Source organism: Homo sapiens, chromosome 11 (assembly GCF_000001405.40).
Source record: "Homo sapiens chromosome 11, GRCh38.p14 Primary Assembly".
NCBI lineage: Eukaryota > Metazoa > Chordata > Mammalia > Primates > Hominidae > Homo > Homo sapiens.
This window is the reverse complement of record NC_000011.10, coordinates 35301986-35321463: the sequence shown is the minus strand read 5'-3', so window position 1 is coordinate 35321463 and position 19478 is coordinate 35301986. Positions and strand designations below refer to the sequence as shown.

The window sequence follows — 19478 nt, the reverse complement described above, 5'->3', positions numbered from 1 at the left end:
TTGCTAAGCTCTAGACAAATTGCATAAAATACTTGAAGAAACCCCTCATTTCTTCTAGGTTTCTATTCAAATGTCCCTTCATCACAGACGCCTTCCCTGGACACTTGATACAAACTCATGCTGCCTCCCCACACACTGCTATCCTTCTCCTCCACCCTTGATGTGGTTTGGCTGTGTTCCCACCCAAATCTCATCTTGAATTGGAGCTCCCATAATCCCCATGTGTTGTGGAAGGGACCCCGTGGGAGATAACTGAATCATGGGGGCAGTTACCCTCATGCTGTTTTTGTGATAGTGAGTGAGTTATCACAATATCTGGTGGTTTTATAAGGGGCTTTTCCCCCTTTTGCTTGGCGCTTCTCCTTGCTGCCACCATGTGAAGAAGGACACGTTCTCTTCCCCTTCCACCATGATTTGATTGTAAGTTTCCTGAGGCTTCCCAAGCCATGCTGAACTGTGAGTCAAACCTCTTTCCTTTGTAAATTTCACAGTCTCGGGTATGTCTTTATTAGCAGAGTGAGAATGGACTAATACAACCCCCCTCTGAGCACTTCTCACTACTTAAAATGTATTTATCCATGCATTTGTTCTCTCACTAAAGTGCACACTCCATGATATCAAGGGCTCTGTCTTTTTGTTTACTGCAACATCTTTAACATCAACAACAGTATGGTGCCTGTAATATGGGCCCACTAGAAATTTGTGGAATAAATGCACGAATGGTCAAAATCTGACTGAAGTGGCATGCTGCCAGTCTGTCTGCAGAAGGGCCTTATTCCCAGGGGCAAGCAAGGGGCCCTTTTAGAGCTGCTTTTCAATTCTCAATTTCTCTTGGCAAACATTGATTAAGCACTCAGGACTAGGTGTTAAAGATCACAATCTTGCCCTCCTGGGGCTCATAGACTGGTGGAGAATGTAGGCATTTAAATTAAATCCATCCTTCAAGAGCTGACTCAGGTCTCGGCCCCTTCTGGGACCCCTTCTTGAACATTCCTTCTTCTTCCCTGAACCTGGGTTAGGCATTGTTCTTATGATTTCCCATAGACTCCTTTGCAAGCTTGCTCATGGCCTGTACATAAAGCAGACAATTACAGTACAATGTGCTTTATGTTTCCTCTCTGAGTAAAGGCTCTTTAAGAGTAAAGATTGTACCATACCCATTACTGAGTATAGTGTCTGATACATAGAGAACACTCAATAAATATAAGTTATGCCTGTTATTGTCACTGTTACCAGGTGTGTTTGCAATCAGCATTTATATAGCTGTTTGTGTGAACACATTTTTTAAAACTTATATCTTATTCTAAAGGTATATAGGCTTAGAAGCAGCTGTATATTATATAATATTCTATCATGCTATACTATATGATAGTTCCCATGTCAGTCTCTGTTTGTGTTCTGGGAGACGTAGTGATTAGTTAGACTAATTAGAATAGTTGGAATTTTTAGATTAGTCAGAATTTTTACAAAGAGTTCTTGGGGGACTCTGTGTTTCCAGCTGCGAGCTGAGTCCCTGAATTACCTTAAAAATTATTTTCTATGTGCAAACATCAAGAACTCTTACAAGTCTTCCATATCTGTTTAATTCCAAGAGGGTAACTCACGAGAATTCTCTCAATAAATATTTGTGGGTTTATAGTATTTTGATGTAGCCACTTTGATGTGGCTGTTTTGATTCAGGGCTTCAGGGACATTTTGTTATGGCCTAAAAAACAAACCATTAAAGAGGCAGCAATTTTGTACAACAAAGAAATGTGTGGCACAGGCATCCAACCACATTGCCAGGTTGGGTGTGTATGCTAACCTAATGTTTGTGTGTTTTCACTTTGACATGGCTGTTTTGATGCCTGACGCTTCCATTACATCATATGGATCTTGCCAGAATGGTTGCTTTAAATACTTCCTAGTTTTACTTGAATACCAACCATGTGCCTGATTCTCATTTCAATGGCAGGAGGGATTCAAATGAAGCAGAAGGCAAGGAGATTAATGATCTCAAGGGGACTGGAGAGTTTTGCCAAGAGCTGGCTAAGGAAATACATTCACCATTTCAGAACGCATACTACCTCCATTCTTTGTTTGACATTTCCTGGTTTAGAGCTTCAGATTACTTGCTGGAGACATGTTTAAAAATGGAAAAAGATCCCACTGCAAACACAGAAATATGGTCTATCCACGTTAAAAAGGTCATTTTGATCATTTCCCCCTGCTGTGTTGTAAAATGAATTTTCTGTCTGTTTCACTTGGCGAGGGGAGGAAGTGATATTTGTTGCTCACTGATCAGAAAGGCCCTCACCCAACTGCTGTGAGCAGTCATACCCTATTTTCTTTTTCAGATGGTCTGAGGGATTGTTATTGCACACATATGTCAGGAAACCAGAAGTTGCCTCAGAAATTAACTAGATGAATAGAAAATTAGGCCATTAAGGGGAGACTAAGAAGCCTATATTTTGACTAACATTCTCATCTGGTCATGCAATGTTATTCCTAATTTTAAAACATTTGGGTAGCAAGTATATTAAGCAGCCTGTTATGAAAAAGCAAGTAGTTGTATTTGGGTTCCAGGTCTTAACTCTGAGTCTGGAAGCTAAGTTCTTGGTGTCTTGCTAGAATGGCAGGGCAAGTGGGTAAGCCCCCTGAACAAAATGTCATCCTTGTCATGAAGTTGATGGGTGTTATATGTCTCTTCTTTGTGTGCACTGGAGAAAGGTACTATGCTAGCATATTTTTGTTTAATTTTTATGAAGTAGGCATCAGGCATTTCTTTCTACACCCCACACAGCTAGCAAGAGTTGGAGTCAGGATTTGAAGTCAAGGCCCTCTGACTCCAAAACCCACACTATTCCCATTATAACCAGTTATTCCAAAACACTGGTCTGCAGCTCGGTGTTGGTTCCAAAGGAAGTTTTCTCCAGTCTATGACAAGACTATCTGGATAATGCAACACCTCCCTGTCTTGAAAGCACTGTCATCTGTTCAGAGACACCTCTCTTTCTAGGTGTGAAAGGCTTATTTTTTTTCTTTTATCAAATGATGGTGATTGTAAATAGCAGCTAAAAAAATGTTCTAAGATATCAAAGTGAAAAATTGGCCTCCCTATGGCAATCCCCAAGCTTACATCTGGAATCTTATTGGCCTGGGAAGTGACAAAGCTGAGGAAGGAGAAGTACTCCCATTACCCCAGCAAGGGCTCCTTTGGGCAGACTCCCAGGATGGCTTAGGCTTACCTGAGGTTAACCCAGAAAAGGGCTTGGCTGCAGCCATAGCTGGAGGTGATCAAAATACTTCTTAAAGCCATACTTCTTGGACTCTAAGTGGTATTAGCTCTTGCCAGTTTAGCTGTCCTGATAATGTAGGTGGCCTTTTAAAAGCCACAATAGGTTGAATTATTATTATTATTTTTTTACTAGATAAACTATCTTTTCCAAAAAAGAAATAAAGCTTGGATGATCAGTGTTTGTGACGTTTACATGTCAGGATGGGGAAGGCTTGAGCTTGGAGATATTTTAATGTTGATGTAACTCAAGTATGACTCTCCTGAAAAAGTCACCTTTTTACTGTTGTTACAAGAAGAAAATAGCTCAGGCTTTGGAGCCAGACCTATCTGGATTTGGATCTCTATTTTAGCCTTTGCAACTTTGGTCAAGACTCAAGTAAAGGCTCTGTAACATGATAACTTCCTTCCCCAAGTTACCACGGGGGGCAACTCTTTGGAAGATCCTACCATTGCATGCGGTGTTCCTTTCCTTTACTGGGAGGATCCACATCAGTTCTCAGTGTGTCCTCCTGTCCTGCTTATAGGTGACCCTGAGTCACACTTACTTTTATTTTCCTGCAGATGGTTCCAGATTCCAACTGTGCCTGGAGAGGTTCCTACTAGTCGAGCCCCTGAAACTGTATAGGGGAGGTGCCAGTCTCTCTAATCTCTGCCTTCACTTCTGTTCCAGTGCCAACAATATGCCCAAGCAGGTGGAAGTGCGAATGCACGACAGTCATCTTGGCTCAGAGGAACCCAAGCACCGGCACCTGGGCCTGCGCCTGTGTGACAAGCTGGGGAAGAATCTGCTGCTCACCCTGACGGTGTTTGGTAGGTACCTGCACTACCCCACCCCCAGCCCCCTCTTCTCTGGGACTCTCCTGGCTCTGTGGGGCAGCTGGTCTCAGCAGCCAGCCCTTCCACCAGAAAGGAAGCCACGTGGTTTGCCTAGGGCCCTGTCTGCCCAGGCTTCAGTGATATAATTTTCCTCCTTACCTCCTCTAGCCATTCATTCTCCTTTGGATTCTAGTAGTTCTTAAATTTTTTGCAAATAAATATCTTGTGAGAGTGTTGGCATGTGGATTCCTATACTTATGGAGACTTTGCTTTGGGCCACCTGAAATGAGGTCCTGCAATCTACATATTAGCAAACCTAGGTGGTTCCAAAGCATTGGTCCATGGACCACATTTAGAGAACCGCCTGCATCAAGATAAGCACAAGTATTGCACAAAACCCCACTAAAATGGCTCCCAAGGTCTGAGCTTCTTCAGACACATCATTAATTTAGGTAATTTGGGCACATTAGCTAATGAGGTCAGTGTGGAAGATGTTTGCCCCAATGCCTTGATCTGCTCCAGCTCCATCTTGCAAGTCCTCTTCCTCCTCTGCTTCAGGCCTCACCCAGGCGATGGTTGTTCTCAGGCTATTGATACAATCTTGGTCTTAAGATTCCCGTGAGGGTTTATTGAAAATGGGGCAATATACAGTTTCTTGTAATGACAACCACACCATTTCCTTTCTCAATCCCTCCCTTGTTCTGCAGCTCTCACTTAGGTTTCACAGAGAAGCAGTGAACAACTTGTCCTTCCCACCCACCCACCTGCACACACCTACCTGAACCCCTCCATTCCATGGCCTTTCCTTTGAGACAGATGCCTTGGTTGCCAGTGGCCCAGGATCAGGACTGGGAGCTCGCCACAGCTAAGTTCACTTAATAAGAAACCACAGGCATGGTTAGGTTTTCCAAAGGTTACCCGCCATGTAACCACATCTAATTCATCACAGGACTTGAAGAAGTTGGAGAGTGGGATTTTTACCTGCAGAAGAAAAAAAATCAGGCTTTCAGCCACATTACTCCTTCCTCATCTGTGGAATTAACACTGTAGCCTGCATTCCTGGAACTCCATCCCTCCCTTATGGCCAGTGGTACTATGACCCAACTTGTGGTTTCTGAAAGGGTCATTCATGTTGGCCACCCATTTGCAGAGATATAAAATTTTTCTTCTGGGAACTTTGAGTCTGTAAAGTGAAAGATCCCTGCCAGCATCTCTGCCTAAATTGTTTCCTCCAAAATTATATATCTTAGAGTCCATTCTTGAGCTCCCATAAGATCAGCAATCTAAAAGCTATGTAAAAGGACATAGAAGTCAAGGACAAGCCTTGAGAGTGAGCCATGAGGAAATTATTGGAAGCCAAAGAAAATAGATGGGAAGAAAAAAATAGAATTCACACTAGCTTGGTCAATTAAATGTTCATTTTATCTTGCCTCCAGTTACAATGAGAAGACACACATTAAATGCCATGCCATGTGGCCAAGCTTGAGCTGGGCAAGGAGGCAATATCTGTCCTTGTGGGTTCTTTCTTTCTTTTTTCTTTTTCTTTCTTTCTTTCTTTCTTTTTTTTTTTTTTTTGAGATGGAGTCTCACTCCTGTTGCTCACACTGGAGTGCAATGGCACCATCTCAGCTCACTGCAACCTCTGCCTCCTGGGTTCAAGCAATTCTCCTGCCTCAGTCTCCCAAGTAGCTGGGATTACAGGTTTCCGCCACCACACCCAGCTAAATTTTTGTATTTTTAGTAGAGATGGTGTTTCACTATTTTGGCCAGGCTGGTCTCGAACTCCTGACCTCAGGTGACCCACTCGCCTCGGCCTCCCAAAGTGCTGGGATTATAGGCACAAGCCACTGTGCCCAGCCCCTTATAGTTTATTTCTATAAACAATTTCTGGCTCCAAGTAGACAAATAGCCTCAAATAAGTTGGAGTCAAGTTGCCAGTGTGCACTTTCATAAAGCCTTGAGTTCTCCTTGACTCTTTGGGTGCTGACTTTTTAAGAATAGTTGGAGGTATAGAAAGTTCTCTTGCTAGTCATCAAAATCAGCTTCACTTATCTAATGTTGTTTTTGTTACACATTGTTCATCATTTAATACTGCAGAAGCATGAGAAAGGTCAATGTTGCTGAAATAAGTGTCTAGAGTAAGTCATTTGACGAAGGCAAAAAATAAATTCATATTGTTTTCCCCTTCCTTTTAGGTGTCATCCTGGGAGCAGTGTGTGGAGGGCTTCTTCGCTTGGCATCTCCCATCCACCCTGATGTGGTTATGTTAATAGCCTTCCCAGGGGATATACTCATGAGGATGCTAAAAATGCTCATTCTCCCTCTAATCATCTCCAGCTTAATCACAGGTAAGACTACCTCACTAGTGCCTGGCTAACATGGGTCATACTCCTGCCCTGGCTTTTAATTAACTGTAGAATCTCAATTTGGTTGAGTGAATGTGATCGTCTATGTCATTTCATTTCAGAGCTTTGGTTTTCCCGTCTCTGAAATGAGGATAATCAACCCTAAAGAAATAAAAGCTTGCCATCGATTAGTCAGTCTATTTGTCTTTCTCTCCAGCAAAAAAAAGAAAAAAAAAAAAAGAAAAGAAAAGGAAACACAGCCACATGTTACAAGTGATGATACCTCTAGTGGTTTTAAATTTTTTTTTTTTTTGAGATGGAGTCTCCCTCTGTTGCCCATGCTGGAGTGCGGTGGTGCAATCTCAGCTCACTGCAACCTGTGCCTCGTGGGTTCAAGCGATTCTCCTGCCTCAGCCTCCTGAGTAGCTGGGACTACAGGCATGTGCCATCATGCCTGGCTAATTTTTGTATTTTTAGTAGAGACAGGGTTTCACCATATTGGCCAAGCTGGTCTCGAACTCCTGACCTCATGATCCACCCGCCTCAGCCTCCCAAAGTGCTGGGTTTACAGGCATGAGCCACTGCACCTGGCCTTAATTTTTAATGTCTACTTTTCTCCCCTTTCTAAATTATATTTTGTTCAGATACTGATAAAGGTAATAGATGGAAAAGGAAATTATCTACTATTTTAATTGGGAATTGAGGGAGATTGGCATTAAAAATAAATGAAATGCTAGGTATGAAAGCCCTCTGAGTTTTTCAGAACAAAGTTACTCCTAATATGTGGCATCATGTTCACTTATTTTTCACTACCACCAAGTTGGCCAATGTATGATTTGTTAACAGGTGTATATCCTGAGTCCCAGCATCAATTATCTTTGACTAAAATAATTAATTACTTTATTTGAAAGAATTTGTTCTTCCTCTGTGGGCTTATACTGGTATTTTCCTCCTTACCAAATAATATTGCTCAAACAGGGTATAAATTGATGCCCTTTGGAGACTAAACTCTGAGTTAAGGGCAGGAAGCTGAGCTTTGGTCCATATTTGGGTACCAGCCAGCTAAGTGATCTGGAGAAGTTGTTCCCCTGGACTGGCCACCTCATGAAAGAAGTGAGTGAGGCTCTGGTAACTCCAGGAGATTCAGGGGCTGAGCTGGGTTGAGGCTTCAGCTGGTTGACCAGTGACCCCAGTACCTGAAATGCTGGAACTCAGGATCAGGCACTTAGGGGCTAAGTGGGACCTTATCATTCAGCGCTAGATTGAGTGAAAGGGTGCATTTACCATCAGTGCTCCTCTATAAACCAGAGAAAATGTTCTCTGCACCTGTTAACAGGTCATACGTTGGCCAACTTGGTGGGGAAACCTAGCTCCCGTCGGCTAGAATTAGACTAGGTTGTAAAGAGAAGTAGGTCACACGTAGGTCAGCTTAATTTAGAGCAGCTCACATCACTAACTTCTTCCCCCATAGCAAAAAGGACTAACACCCAAAAAGGGGTTCAATCTCTCTTTCTGGTAAAAGCAGGAACTGAAACCAGGAAGTGAACACATTCAAGAAACAACTGGAAAAAAACCCAGTGGGGCTGGAGTTTTTGTGAATTTGCTTGGAATTTCCTCTAACCTCCCTAGGTATAGATGAAGTGCCCACCATTGGCAGGGTGCTTCACGGGGTGTTCCCTAATCCCTGCATGAGGCTGGGAATGTGGATCTTCATGCTTCACCTCAGAGAAATGAGAGGACTGGGCAAAATCGTTATTCTCAGACTCTCCATGTCAGTTACCAGTAATATATTCAAAAGACATTTTGAGTGTGGCACAGAACTACTAGCTTTTTAGTCTTCCAAGTGAGGACATTAAAACATAAATAAATAAACAAGTTAAAAACTAGCATGTACCAGCAGCATCGCTTCATAAAACAAAGGAGATGTTAAGACCAAAAAAAATAAAAAGTGGAAAGGAATAATCTCAGAATTAAAAATGGGATGTCTTCAACTTTATTTTAACTCATTATTGCAGACTGACAAAAAATTTGTTACAGACCATTTGTAAACTCTAAACAGGAGGATCTCCAACTCTCCCAGTTCTGTAAAATCTTGAAAATCTCCCTGGATAATAGAATGATAAACTATGGGATTGATCAAATATTCAATACAGTCGGCCCTGCATATCTGTGAGTCCCACATGTGCAGATTGAAAATATTTGAGAAAAAAAACTAATAAAAAATACAAAATAATGCAAGTTAAAAATATAGTATAACAGTTATGTACATAGCATTTACATTGTATTAGGTATTGTAAATAATTTAGAGGTGGTTTAAAGTAGACAGGAGGATGTGCATAGGTTATATACAAATACTACACCATTTTACAGAAGAAACTTGGGCACTCTCAGATTTTGGTATCTGTTGGGAGTCCCAGAACCAACCCTCTCATGGATATTGAGGGAAGACTACAGTAGGAGATTTAATCAACCATTAACACATTTGAGTAATATGAAGCTAACGTCATAGAAATGTAGACACAGGTCATTAGCACAAACGTAATAGAATTAATCCTTCTGCATTTCTTTTCAATCCAGGGTTGTCAGGCCTGGATGCTAAGGCTAGTGGCCGCTTGGGCACGAGAGCCATGGTGTATTACATGTCCACGACCATCATTGCTGCAGTACTGGGGGTCATTCTGGTCTTGGCTATCCATCCAGGCAATCCCAAGCTCAAGAAGCAGCTGGGGCCTGGGAAGAAGAATGATGAAGTGTCCAGCCTGGATGCCTTCCTGGACCTTATTCGAAATCTCTTCCCTGAAAACCTTGTCCAAGCCTGCTTTCAACAGGTAACCCAGAGTTCAGATGTTCTCTCTTCTCCAGTCCTCTAAGTTATCAAGGCGATAACTTAAGAGTATTTTAACAGACCAACTCTGGGTAGAAATTTTCTAAATATATAATTATCTCTGTCTAGGCCCAGGGATTCTATGAGGTGGTTTAGGGCAGGATCTTGGGATTGGAGTCTCCTGGTTTTAATTTTTTTAAACATCCCTTTTTTTCCAGCTCACTTAATATATTTTTGCTGTGGGATTGTCCTCCTTTCTCCCCCACCCCCCCCCCCCGCCTCTCTCTCTCTCTCTCTCTCTCTCCCTCCCTCTCTCTCTCTCTCTCTCTCCTTATATCTATCTCTTCCTTTCCTTTTTGTGCATGAGGCTGGGAAATGTGTCTTTGAGTTGTCCATGGGCATATTTTTATTAGCCTTGCCCACAACCTTCTAGAATACACAGTGGTTCTCAAACGTGGCAGTAAAGCTAAACCACCAATGGCACTTTTAAAAAAATACAAATACCCTACACAATCAGAATCTCCAAGAGATGAATCTGGAGCTTGGGTAGTTTTTTAAATTGTGGAAGTAATACATGCAGATTATGAAAATTTTAGAAAGTATAGAAGTACACAAAGTAAAAGTTAGAAGCTTCTGCTTCCCCTTCTCTAGAGCTACTTATGTTGAGAATGCTGTTTCCTCCCCTGTATTTTTCTTTTGCCACTTATGCAAGTGTGCATAATCTTTAAAAGAATTCAACCCTGGCTGGGCGTGGTGGCTCATGCCTATAATCCCAGCACTTCGAGAGGCCGAGGCAGGGGGATCATTTGAGGTTAGGAATTCAAAACCAGCCTGGCCAACATGGTGAAACCCCATCTCTACTAAAAATGCAAAAATTAGCCGGGTGTGGTGGCGCATGCCTGTAATCCCAGCTACTCGGGAGGCCGAGGCAAGAGAATTGCTTGAGCCCGGGAGGCAGAGATTGCAGTGAGCAGAGCCACTGCACTCCAGCCTGGGAGACGGAGTGACATACTGTCTCAAAAACAAAAAACAAAAAAACAAAAAAAAAGAATTTAACCCAATGGTACTCCATTGTTCATAAAACGTTACATCTGACTTTTTCACAGAACAATGTTTGAACAATGAAAAACATTGAACAATGTTTTAAAGTCATCTCTTCTTTTTTTCATGATTGCATAATATTTTTAAAGGATAAATTCCTAGAAGTAAAAATGTCCTTGTCAGGACAAGGAGTTTTGTATTTTGAGTTTGCTGGCTGTTGCAAAATGGCACTACAAAAGTATGTAGCAGTGGGTACAGATTCCTTAGCAATGTATACTCTTGCTTGCTGCATACATGCCTATACATTTTTTTAAACTTGAGATTTTTTTAAAACAGGTGATTCTGTTGAGTGGAACCACTGAGTTAGCTGAGTAGGCCCCATTCACTACCCTGTTTTCTAGCCCCAAGGCCAGCATAGGCTAGAACACATCCCGCACACCCCGGTTTCCATTAACCCAGGTAGAAACTAAGCTAAAACCAAGCAGTCTAAGCTAAAACTTCAGCCATTTCCAAGCACAGAAGAATGAGCTTAGGAAACAGTTTGCTTAGAAGAAAAGTATGTATTCCTAGCTGTCTCCAAAATGTAGTCCTTAACCATTGCTGAGCCCAGATTACTCTGGGTTGGGATATGTTCCCTGGTTTCAGATACTATTTTAGTGGAACATGTAGCATGGACCTATATTAAAGGAAACCATTCCACGCCAGGGAAGTTGGATGCAGAAATAAACAGAAATAAGCTGGAGAAGAAGGTGCTTAGTGGGCTCCATCTGTATAGCGTGTTTGCCCCTCAGCCAGCCTGCTCAGAAAGATGAACTGACTTGCTTTAGTGTGAGAGACACGATTGGGTGCTATCCATTCTTAACATTTTGGAAAGAGCATTCTGGGATCGCAGCTGCAGGAGGCTGAGCTGGTAGTAGATTGGGGGAGAGTGGAGCATAGGAGGGCCTGGGAAGGACAGATTTGGACACAGTTCTGTGCCTGGTCATGCCATGCTCTGTGAAAAAAGGAAGGCAGGACCAAGAAGCAGGCAGGCTCCTGGAGCTATTGCTCTGGTCTTGGAGTGAACTTTTGTGGAGCTGGCCACACTCACACTCGGTGAGCGCTGTGGTGGATGGGCAGTCTTTGCATGCAGCTGCCCATGGCAAAGGCTGCTCTCTGCCATTCTGGAATAGAGACCTGAGCCATTCCCTGCCCCACGCCAGCCCTGACCCCAACTTTCTATTGCCAAAATTCATATGAGGACTGAGCCTTGGTCCCTCAGTAGGCTCAGTATCAAGGTCCCTTTGGATTAGGACAACCTGAGGAAGAATGGTGTAGAATCCACCTCAGGGAGAGGATGGTTACAGATTCCTTAAGCCTGGAAGGAAGGCACTGAAGAGGACTTGAGGACAGGAAACTCTTTTAAAGGGACGTGGCATTTCCAGAGAGAAAGGGTGCGTGAGAGACATCTTCTGTGTCCATGAGTACAGCTAGAAGTCATTTAAAATAACCTGTCTTGAGTGGAGGAGGCTCCTTGACCAGAGTTAGAAACAGAAATGTAAAGAGGAAGATGAGCTCCCCGCAGAGTGGAGACTGCCTCCTCCCAGGCGACAGGGCCTGGTTTGCCCAAGTTAAGTCCCTGTGTCTTTGTGAGCAGAGAGGTCTCCAGCTTGCTTTCTGGGGCTTACTTTGAACCAAAGTGAGATTTCCAAGACAGTAACTGGCTGTAAGATATGACCTTACAACGTTAAATCCAGCCCAGTAATAGAGACCGCATGGGTTCTTTTCCTCCAGAAAATTCCGTGATCTGTGTATGTTCACTCGGCCAATACTTGTGAGCAGGACGGGCTGCCAGGCTCTCTGCTTTGTACAAGGATGCCACGGGGGGAGGAGACAGATGAGGACCCTGCCCCAAGGAGCTCACTTACATTAAAGGGGAGGGAGGTAGACCAAAACAAACATCAGGGAAACACAGAAGAGACTTAAACATTAAGACAGGTGTTCTCTGAGGGCTAGAGGCAGGATGATAGGCTGGTGGTAACTAGGGGAGATATTTCAGCTGAGAGGATAGGGGATCAGAATGAGTTAGGCCTACAAAGAGCTGGGGAAAGGAGCTTCTCAGTAGAGGCACAGATATGCAGAAGCTGAAAAGTACTTATAATGTTCAGAAAAGAAAAAGGAGGCTGTGTGAGGCCAGTGTGGAGGTATAGTGAGTGGAGGAAGGTAAACTCAGCTCAGGCATGACTTGGTGGGCCAGGGGAAGCTAAGGATATAGATAGGGTTATAGGTAGCCACACTTACCTATAGACTGTATGCAGACAAGAAGAAAGTTGAGTAGGTCAGTTTATGGTTTTGCAGGTTTTATGATGAGACATGATGGTGGCTTAGGGACAGGGAGACTGGAATTAGCACCTGCTATGCTTTGGATGTCTGTCCCTTCCAAAATTCATGCTGAAATTTAGTTGCCATTATAACAATATTGATAAGTGGACCCTTTGGGAGGTGATTAGGCCATGAGGTCTCTGCTTTCATGGATGGGATTAATGCTGCTATAAAAGAATGAGTTTGGCTCCTTTGTGCCTCTCTTTGCCTTTCTACCTTCCTCCATATAATGATGCAGCAAGAAGGCTCTTGCCCGATGCTGATATCTTCATTGTGTACTTCCCAGTCTCCAGAATGGTGAAAAAATAAATTTCTGTTTATCATAAATTATCCAGTCTTAGGTATTCTGTCGTAGCAGCACAAAACAGACTAAAACAGCACTTACATGGAGTTGTGCAACCGAACAGCTTCTGTGAATCAGGAACTCAGGCAGAGAACTCGGCCTGCGTTCGTGTTCCTATCTCCTCAGCTTCAACTTACATCACTGGCCTTTGCTATTTGAAATCTGGATTTCTGGAGTCAAACATAACTCATCTCGAATCCTGCTTCAGCAACTAACTAGCAAGCTGCCCTTGAGTCGAAGGGCTACTGTTGACCTAAGACGTAATGGATGTAAAATAGGTAGCAGCTGGCCTCCTGCCTGATCCTGACAGCCACCATTCATTTAGATCCATGAGTATTTCTCTTTTAAACCAAACGTAGGCTTCTTTAGCATCCTTAGGATAGGTTGACAGTTGGCTTTGGTTCCCTTTTCTTTCCTGGGAGCATGACTCTGCTGTTCACATAAGCTTCTCTTGTGATCCTCCCTGCATTCTCTTCACACCAATGTTGCCCAGATGAAGGGGCCACATTGAGGGGAGAAGTGGGCTGCCTGTTCTCCCCTCACACAGCAGGCCCTAGGCTTCCTCTCTCCCTGCACGAGTACATGTGGCCAGGCTAGAACAGAGAGCACCCTGCCTCACCTCAGAGAACACTGACCTCCCTTCCCATCCATTTTAAATAACTGGCAGTTCAGCATTGCTTCCTATGGGAACCAGCACAGTAGGATTGGGTCCCTATAGCTTAACATACAGCACAGACTGTGGAAATAACTCAATGGAGGTGAGGTCATCTGAGTTGACATCCCAGTTCTGCCCATAACTCCATGACGTCCAACAAGTCACTTGACTTTCCCGTACATCTTCTTCCGTATCTATTCGGGGTTCAGCCATCTGTTACCTACTACATGCCAGCACTGACAATCTAGGATTCTGCATTGAGTTCTATTTTAATGCCCCTGGAGGTGGTGTTTTTTAAGCTCAGATGTGGATTTTTATAGCACTCTGCATGTAGGGTGCCTGGCACCTTTAAAAATAGGACCACTGCCATGGATGTCGAGGAATAGCGGGAGAGGTTCCTTGTGAGTCATCTGACAGAGACACTTGGGGAACATTGAGAAAGGCTTGGCATCACTGCTCAGAAGGAGTGGCTGTCTTCCCACCTTGAATTTGGATCTGAAATATAAGCAAATGCTCCTGCCATGGTGGCTGCTGGCAGCTGGCACTCTTGGTGCCCAGATGGAGATTTCCAGCTGAGCCTGGCTCTAGAAGGAGCCCAAACTGAGGCAGCCTGTGATACCCCTGTCCAGTGGGGACCAGGTAGAGGGGAAAACAGGTGGATCATGAGTTGCTGATCTGACCCCTGCCAAGGCTTCCTATTCTTAACCAGATCCAGGGCCCATCACAACTGGAAGGACCATCACAACTGGAAGGACCATCTAACTGGGTCTCACAATTGGGAAGAGCATCCAAGTTAGACATTTCATACTGTTTCTGAGCTACAATCATAGGAGTGAAAGAAGACATTTATCCCCCAAGTTTAAGCCTGTGTCCTATTATTGACTACAGTACTTATAGTACATTTGCAAATTATTTTCATACATTCTATATTTATGAAATTGTGTCATTTGAAGCAACATGGATAAGACTGGCGGTCGTTATCTTAGGTGAAATAAGCCAGGCACAAAAAGACAGATATTGCATTTCTCATTTATATGTGGGAGCTAAAATATTTGAACACATGGAAAAATAGTGGAAAAATAGATAACAGAGGCTAGGAAGGGTGAGTGGGGGGAAAGGGGAAGGACGAAGGGAAGTAGCTTAAAGGGTACAAACATACAGAAAGATAGAAGGAATTCATTCAATGTTTGATAGCAGAGTTGGATGACTGTACTTAAAAAATGCATTGTACTCAGATGTTAGACACCTTAAATGCCCTGATTTGATCATCACACATTGTATACATTAAAAAATTTATCATGTACCCCATAAATTTGCACAAATAAAAAATTGTGTAATTATCTGTGATTAGGACAATTGTATCTCACTGTGTATAATAAAACACCACTTTGTAAATATAGACATATAAAATATTCTCCAGTTTTCATAACCTTGTTTTGGCATTTCTTAATTATTGTTAACCTGTTGGGAACCTTAAAATATATGAGTAGCCAATCTTTTTTTTTTTCACCTTATAGGCCAAATCTCAGCTCTATGCCTTTTTTCCCTCACTCTGTTAGATTCAAACAGTGACGAAGAAAGTCCTGGTTGCACCACCGCCGGACGAGGAGGCCAACGCAACCAGCGCTGTTGTCTCTCTGTTGAACGAGACTGTGACTGAGGTGCCGGAGGAGACTAAGATGGTTATCAAGAAGGGCCTGGAGTTCAAGGATGGGATGAACGTCTTAGGTAGGCCAGCTGGTGGTCCGGGATTCTGCTTCCCTGGCAATGGCTGGGCTATCCTGCACTCCCTTTTCAGAAAACTGATGACTCAGCTGTCCTCTAGGTGGAGCAGGAGGCTCTCTCTGGGGAGCAATTTGAGGGTCACTGGGACTGAGAGCTGAGCGATTTAAGGAAGAGAGAGAAGGGCAGAGGAGACCATAAGGGGACAGGGCAGCAAGAAGCTGGGTATGGGAAAAAAGGAGGGAGCTCACCGTCATTGGGCACATTCCCTGACTCTCTGTGTGGTGTTAGAAAGTCACTTTCTCTGACTCTCTGTGTTATTAAGTGACACATCCATTGCTTTCGTTTCTTAAGCATTTTTTAAAAGCTGCCCCCATGTACTGGTGCTGTGCTAGGTGCGGGGGCTGGACCACCACAGCCCTTAGTCTGCAAACAAATGCAATGCTACCAGGATTGTAAAGTGTTGGAGTAGGTACCAAGGGAGCTTTACAGATTATCTTGTTATCTTGTTTTACTTTCTGGGATCCCAGTGAGCCCTTTCTCCTAGCCCAGTACCTTCTTAGCATGCCATCCTAGAGGTTTTTGGGCTCTGCAGTTGGGCAGACCTGGGTTTGGATCCAGTATGGGCCACTTACTGGTTATCTGACCCTGGGCAAGTTACTCCATTTCTCTGAGCCTCATTTGTAAAATGGAAATAGGATTGGCATCTATTTTGTAGATTACTGTGAGGATGAAATGTGATTGTGCATATAGGGCACAGTAGCACATGCCATGTGCTCTCTCCGTATGAGCTGTGATCATTATTCAAAGTGGGTGGAGAGCTGAGGAGTTCAGTAAGAAAATACCTCCATGAGGGACAGAGGTTTATTACCATGTGAGCGGCTCTAGTCTGCCCAGTTTGCTCCCCTCCCACTCAGTGGGTCCACTCCCTTCCGTAACCTCCATCCATCACTAGAATGGTGTCCCCGAGACAGGAAATAGGGGCATTTGGCCAAAACCTGGGAGAAATGGTGAATCTGGATGGATGAAGTATGTTTATTTATCCAAGCACAATTTCTAAAGGTTTGGATGACAGCTACTTAGAGATGAATGAGCTCAGTAGTCCTTTCACGTTGTCATCTGAAAGATCACATGGCCTTGTCTCCTTAGTTGGGTTGTCAGATAAAATACAGAATGCCTGGATAAATTTGAATTTTAGATAAAAAGCAAATAGTTTTTTAGTGTAAGTCACAAATATTGCATGGGACATAATAATACTAAAAAAAAAGTATTCATTTTTTACCTGAAATTCAAAAAGTAATTGAGTGTCATGTTTGTTTGTTTGTTCCAAATTTGGTAAGCCTACTCCTTAGCCATCTAGAATGGTAGAGAGAAAGAGGAGAGAGAGGGAGCAGAATTGCACAGTCACTGAGAAGCAGAAGCAGATCTTTTTTGTTTGGCTTGGCAGGAAGCAGGTTGGATGAGTGAGAGTGAGGGAAGAGATGAGCTGACTAGGTTGCTGGGCAATGGAAGATCAATAAACATTGTTTAACAACCAGTGGGAGGTGAGAGGTGGAAGGAGCGAGGAGTAGGAAGGAGAGTTCCTCTGGGGAGATTTTGCAAATATCCCCAGCACCCACCACCGAGCAGCTCTTCTCCCTCACTGTCCAGCTATCTATGTTCCTTTCAGGTCCTTCCTAACTCCCCCATGGTCTTTTCTGGTGGGTCATAACTTAAAACACCCAACCCCCTTTTGTCAAAGTGTTCCTCAGTCTTCTCCATACTCAGGAGGAGCTTGAGGCCATGAACAATGGGGCCAGGGCTTTGGAGTGAATCATTCAAAGACTTTCCTGGTTGTTTCCAGAGTCTTGGTGGATTCTGGGAAGTCACAGGACCTTTGGCTCTACTGGGGAGTTTCAACACAACTCACTACTCTGTAACCCCAGCGGCCAAGTCCAAGAGGGTTTTGTTCAGATGCAACACCCCCGTTCCAGTGAGCAATTTCAATTAGGCAATGTTTACAAAGAAAAATTACAAGCTGAATACGGTTTCCATCCAAGTGCAGATCAAGGCTCTGGAAAGCCAAGGGAAGTTAGACTGTTGAGAAACTTCCCATTTACAAATCATGGCTGAAATAAGGTTCTTTCCACGGTCTTCTGAGGGTGGAGATAGTGGCTTTTTTATTTGTTTGTTTTGCTGTCTTTCTGTTTTTTGGCTTTGGAAAGTCCCGAGGATTAAGCACTTGCAATAAGTGAAGATACAACCCCAGCTCTTGCCTCCCACTTCTTTAAGGAACCATTTCTCTCCTAAAAAACCTCCAGAAACAATTCTGGTCTCCACCCTCTCCCAACTGCTTAAATCAACTCCAACTGTTCCTTTAAAAACCTATCTCTCATAGATATGGCCAGTTTCTGCTGACACTGAATGGAGCTTTTTTTATTCCAGTTCTTTGGGACCTTGATACCTCGGGCATTTTCTCTTAATTTCAAATGAAATTAACCAAGTAATATGAGCTATTCTCAGCCAGAATATTCAGATTGATTCTCTTTGACCTCCCACGTAGCAGACTCCTCTCCATGGGCTTGAGAGAAGGACTTGGGAATGGCCTGAAATTGATTTTGTACATTACTGCGGAACTAGTTCCCTCTGTCCTGGATCTAATCTTCCCTAAGCCTTTGTCTTTCCAGACCAATAACTTACTTGTGAAGTCATTTGTCAAGCTTTCTAGCTGAGAGCAAAAAGAGGAGATACTAAATGTGAAGTATTAGTAACCCCAAGTGCAAGTGATGGATTCTTTTTGCTGAAGATAGAAAGGATCCAGCAAAGGGTAGTTAGACAATCTGGGTTGATATGTGCTTGGTGTAAAGAGGTTAGTGGGTTAGATGACTAGGGAAAGAGTAAAGTCAAAGGTTCAGAGAGAAGGAATTTTGTTATAAGAGAATCAAATTATAATGCTAAAATTTACTGAGTATGGGTTAAGACTTTAGGCATAACTGGACACCATAGGAAACTGGATATAATAGGGAGGGACTGGAAATTAGGACTGCCAAATTGAGCAGGTTAGGTGTGGAGAAGAGGAGGAAAGAGAAGATGGCTCATACTTCAGAGTCAGAGAACAAGTCAGGTGGGGAAGCAAAGTCCTGTAGCCAAGGACATAGCAACACTGATTTATAGAACATGTAAGTAGTAAGAACTGAGACCTCAAGAATGGCAATACTAGATCAGGGGTCAGAGGTCAGGGAGCACATGGGGATTGGAAATTAGAAATCCAGATAGCCCCCAGGCAGTACTGGAAACACCTGTAAGCCGCACAATGTGCCCCAGTCCCTGGATGCGTTGGAGTGAGACTGCAGGCCTGAGCGTGAGGTACCGAGGGAGAGAATGGAAGGGACCAACAGGAGTGGTAGGAAGAGCAAAGCCAGGCCTAGCCTTGGAGGAACTAAAGTGTAGGGCAGATTCCCAGGATCTCAGGCACAGGGGATGAGGTAAAGCCAACACAGAAGTAAGACTCATGGTTGGGTATTGGAGTTGGTCCAAGACCTAGTGCAATGTGATGCTGACATGAAGAGGGCAGAGATGAAGCTCCTTAAATCTTTCCTGGGGTTAGGATTGACCCCAAAGGCTGATGTGAGGCTGGACTTAGATACAAGTCAAGAATGTCAAGTAAAGGAAGAAAAGAGTGGAGGGACTAGGAACTAGCAAAATCTGACAGTGAATCTATATTCTGTCTTTATGATCCTGAAAAAATAAATAAAATTAAAAAAGCATTCTAACCATTTCAATCATGAAAATAATTATGACAAATTCATAAATAACAGATTACATTTAAAAAAACTGGATAAAATGGAATTTCGGATTCCTTATTGTTTTCCCTTTGATTTTTCAGTATTTTTTTCTCCCTGTCATTTTATGTGTGTAGTAATAAAAAATAATTTTACATATAGGATTTTGTAAGAGTGAAACATACCAGCCATGCATTGATTTGGGATAATACCAAAACAAGCTAGATGTAACTCTAGCAAAGAATTTATTGGCTAATTGGCCTCTGCTATTCCAATATTGGCTCCAAAGTTTGTATGATAATCCCCAAGTCCCAACAGGCTTTTCCTCGTTAA

The 19478-nt window shown here is 43.2% G+C and overlaps 1 protein-coding gene across 15 annotated transcripts in view, besides 1 other annotated feature; it reads left to right on the top strand.

Annotated features, from left to right (window-relative positions):
• The window catches only part of SLC1A2 (solute carrier family 1 member 2), a 169303-nt gene that overhangs the window by 99044 nt on the left and 50781 nt on the right, over positions 1-19478 (top strand). For all 15 annotated transcript variants that reach the window (XM_047427443.1, NM_001439342.1, NM_001195728.3 and 12 more), the window contains 4 exons: positions 3948-4087; positions 6289-6441; positions 9016-9266; positions 15222-15390. In XM_047427443.1, the coding sequence (XP_047283399.1) occupies positions 3958-4087; positions 6289-6441; positions 9016-9266; positions 15222-15390 (703 nt within the window). In that variant the 5' untranslated portion in view covers positions 3948-3957. The remainder of the gene's footprint in view (positions 1-3947; positions 4088-6288; positions 6442-9015; positions 9267-15221; positions 15391-19478) is intronic.
• Positions 15662-15751: an enhancer, noted in NCBI's record as "active region_4623". NCBI's record gives its function as "activates an Ori minimal core promoter by ATAC-STARR-seq in GM12878 lymphoblastoid cells {active_cell/tissue: GM12878}" and the evidence as "EXISTENCE:reporter gene assay evidence [ECO:0000049][PMID:35858748]".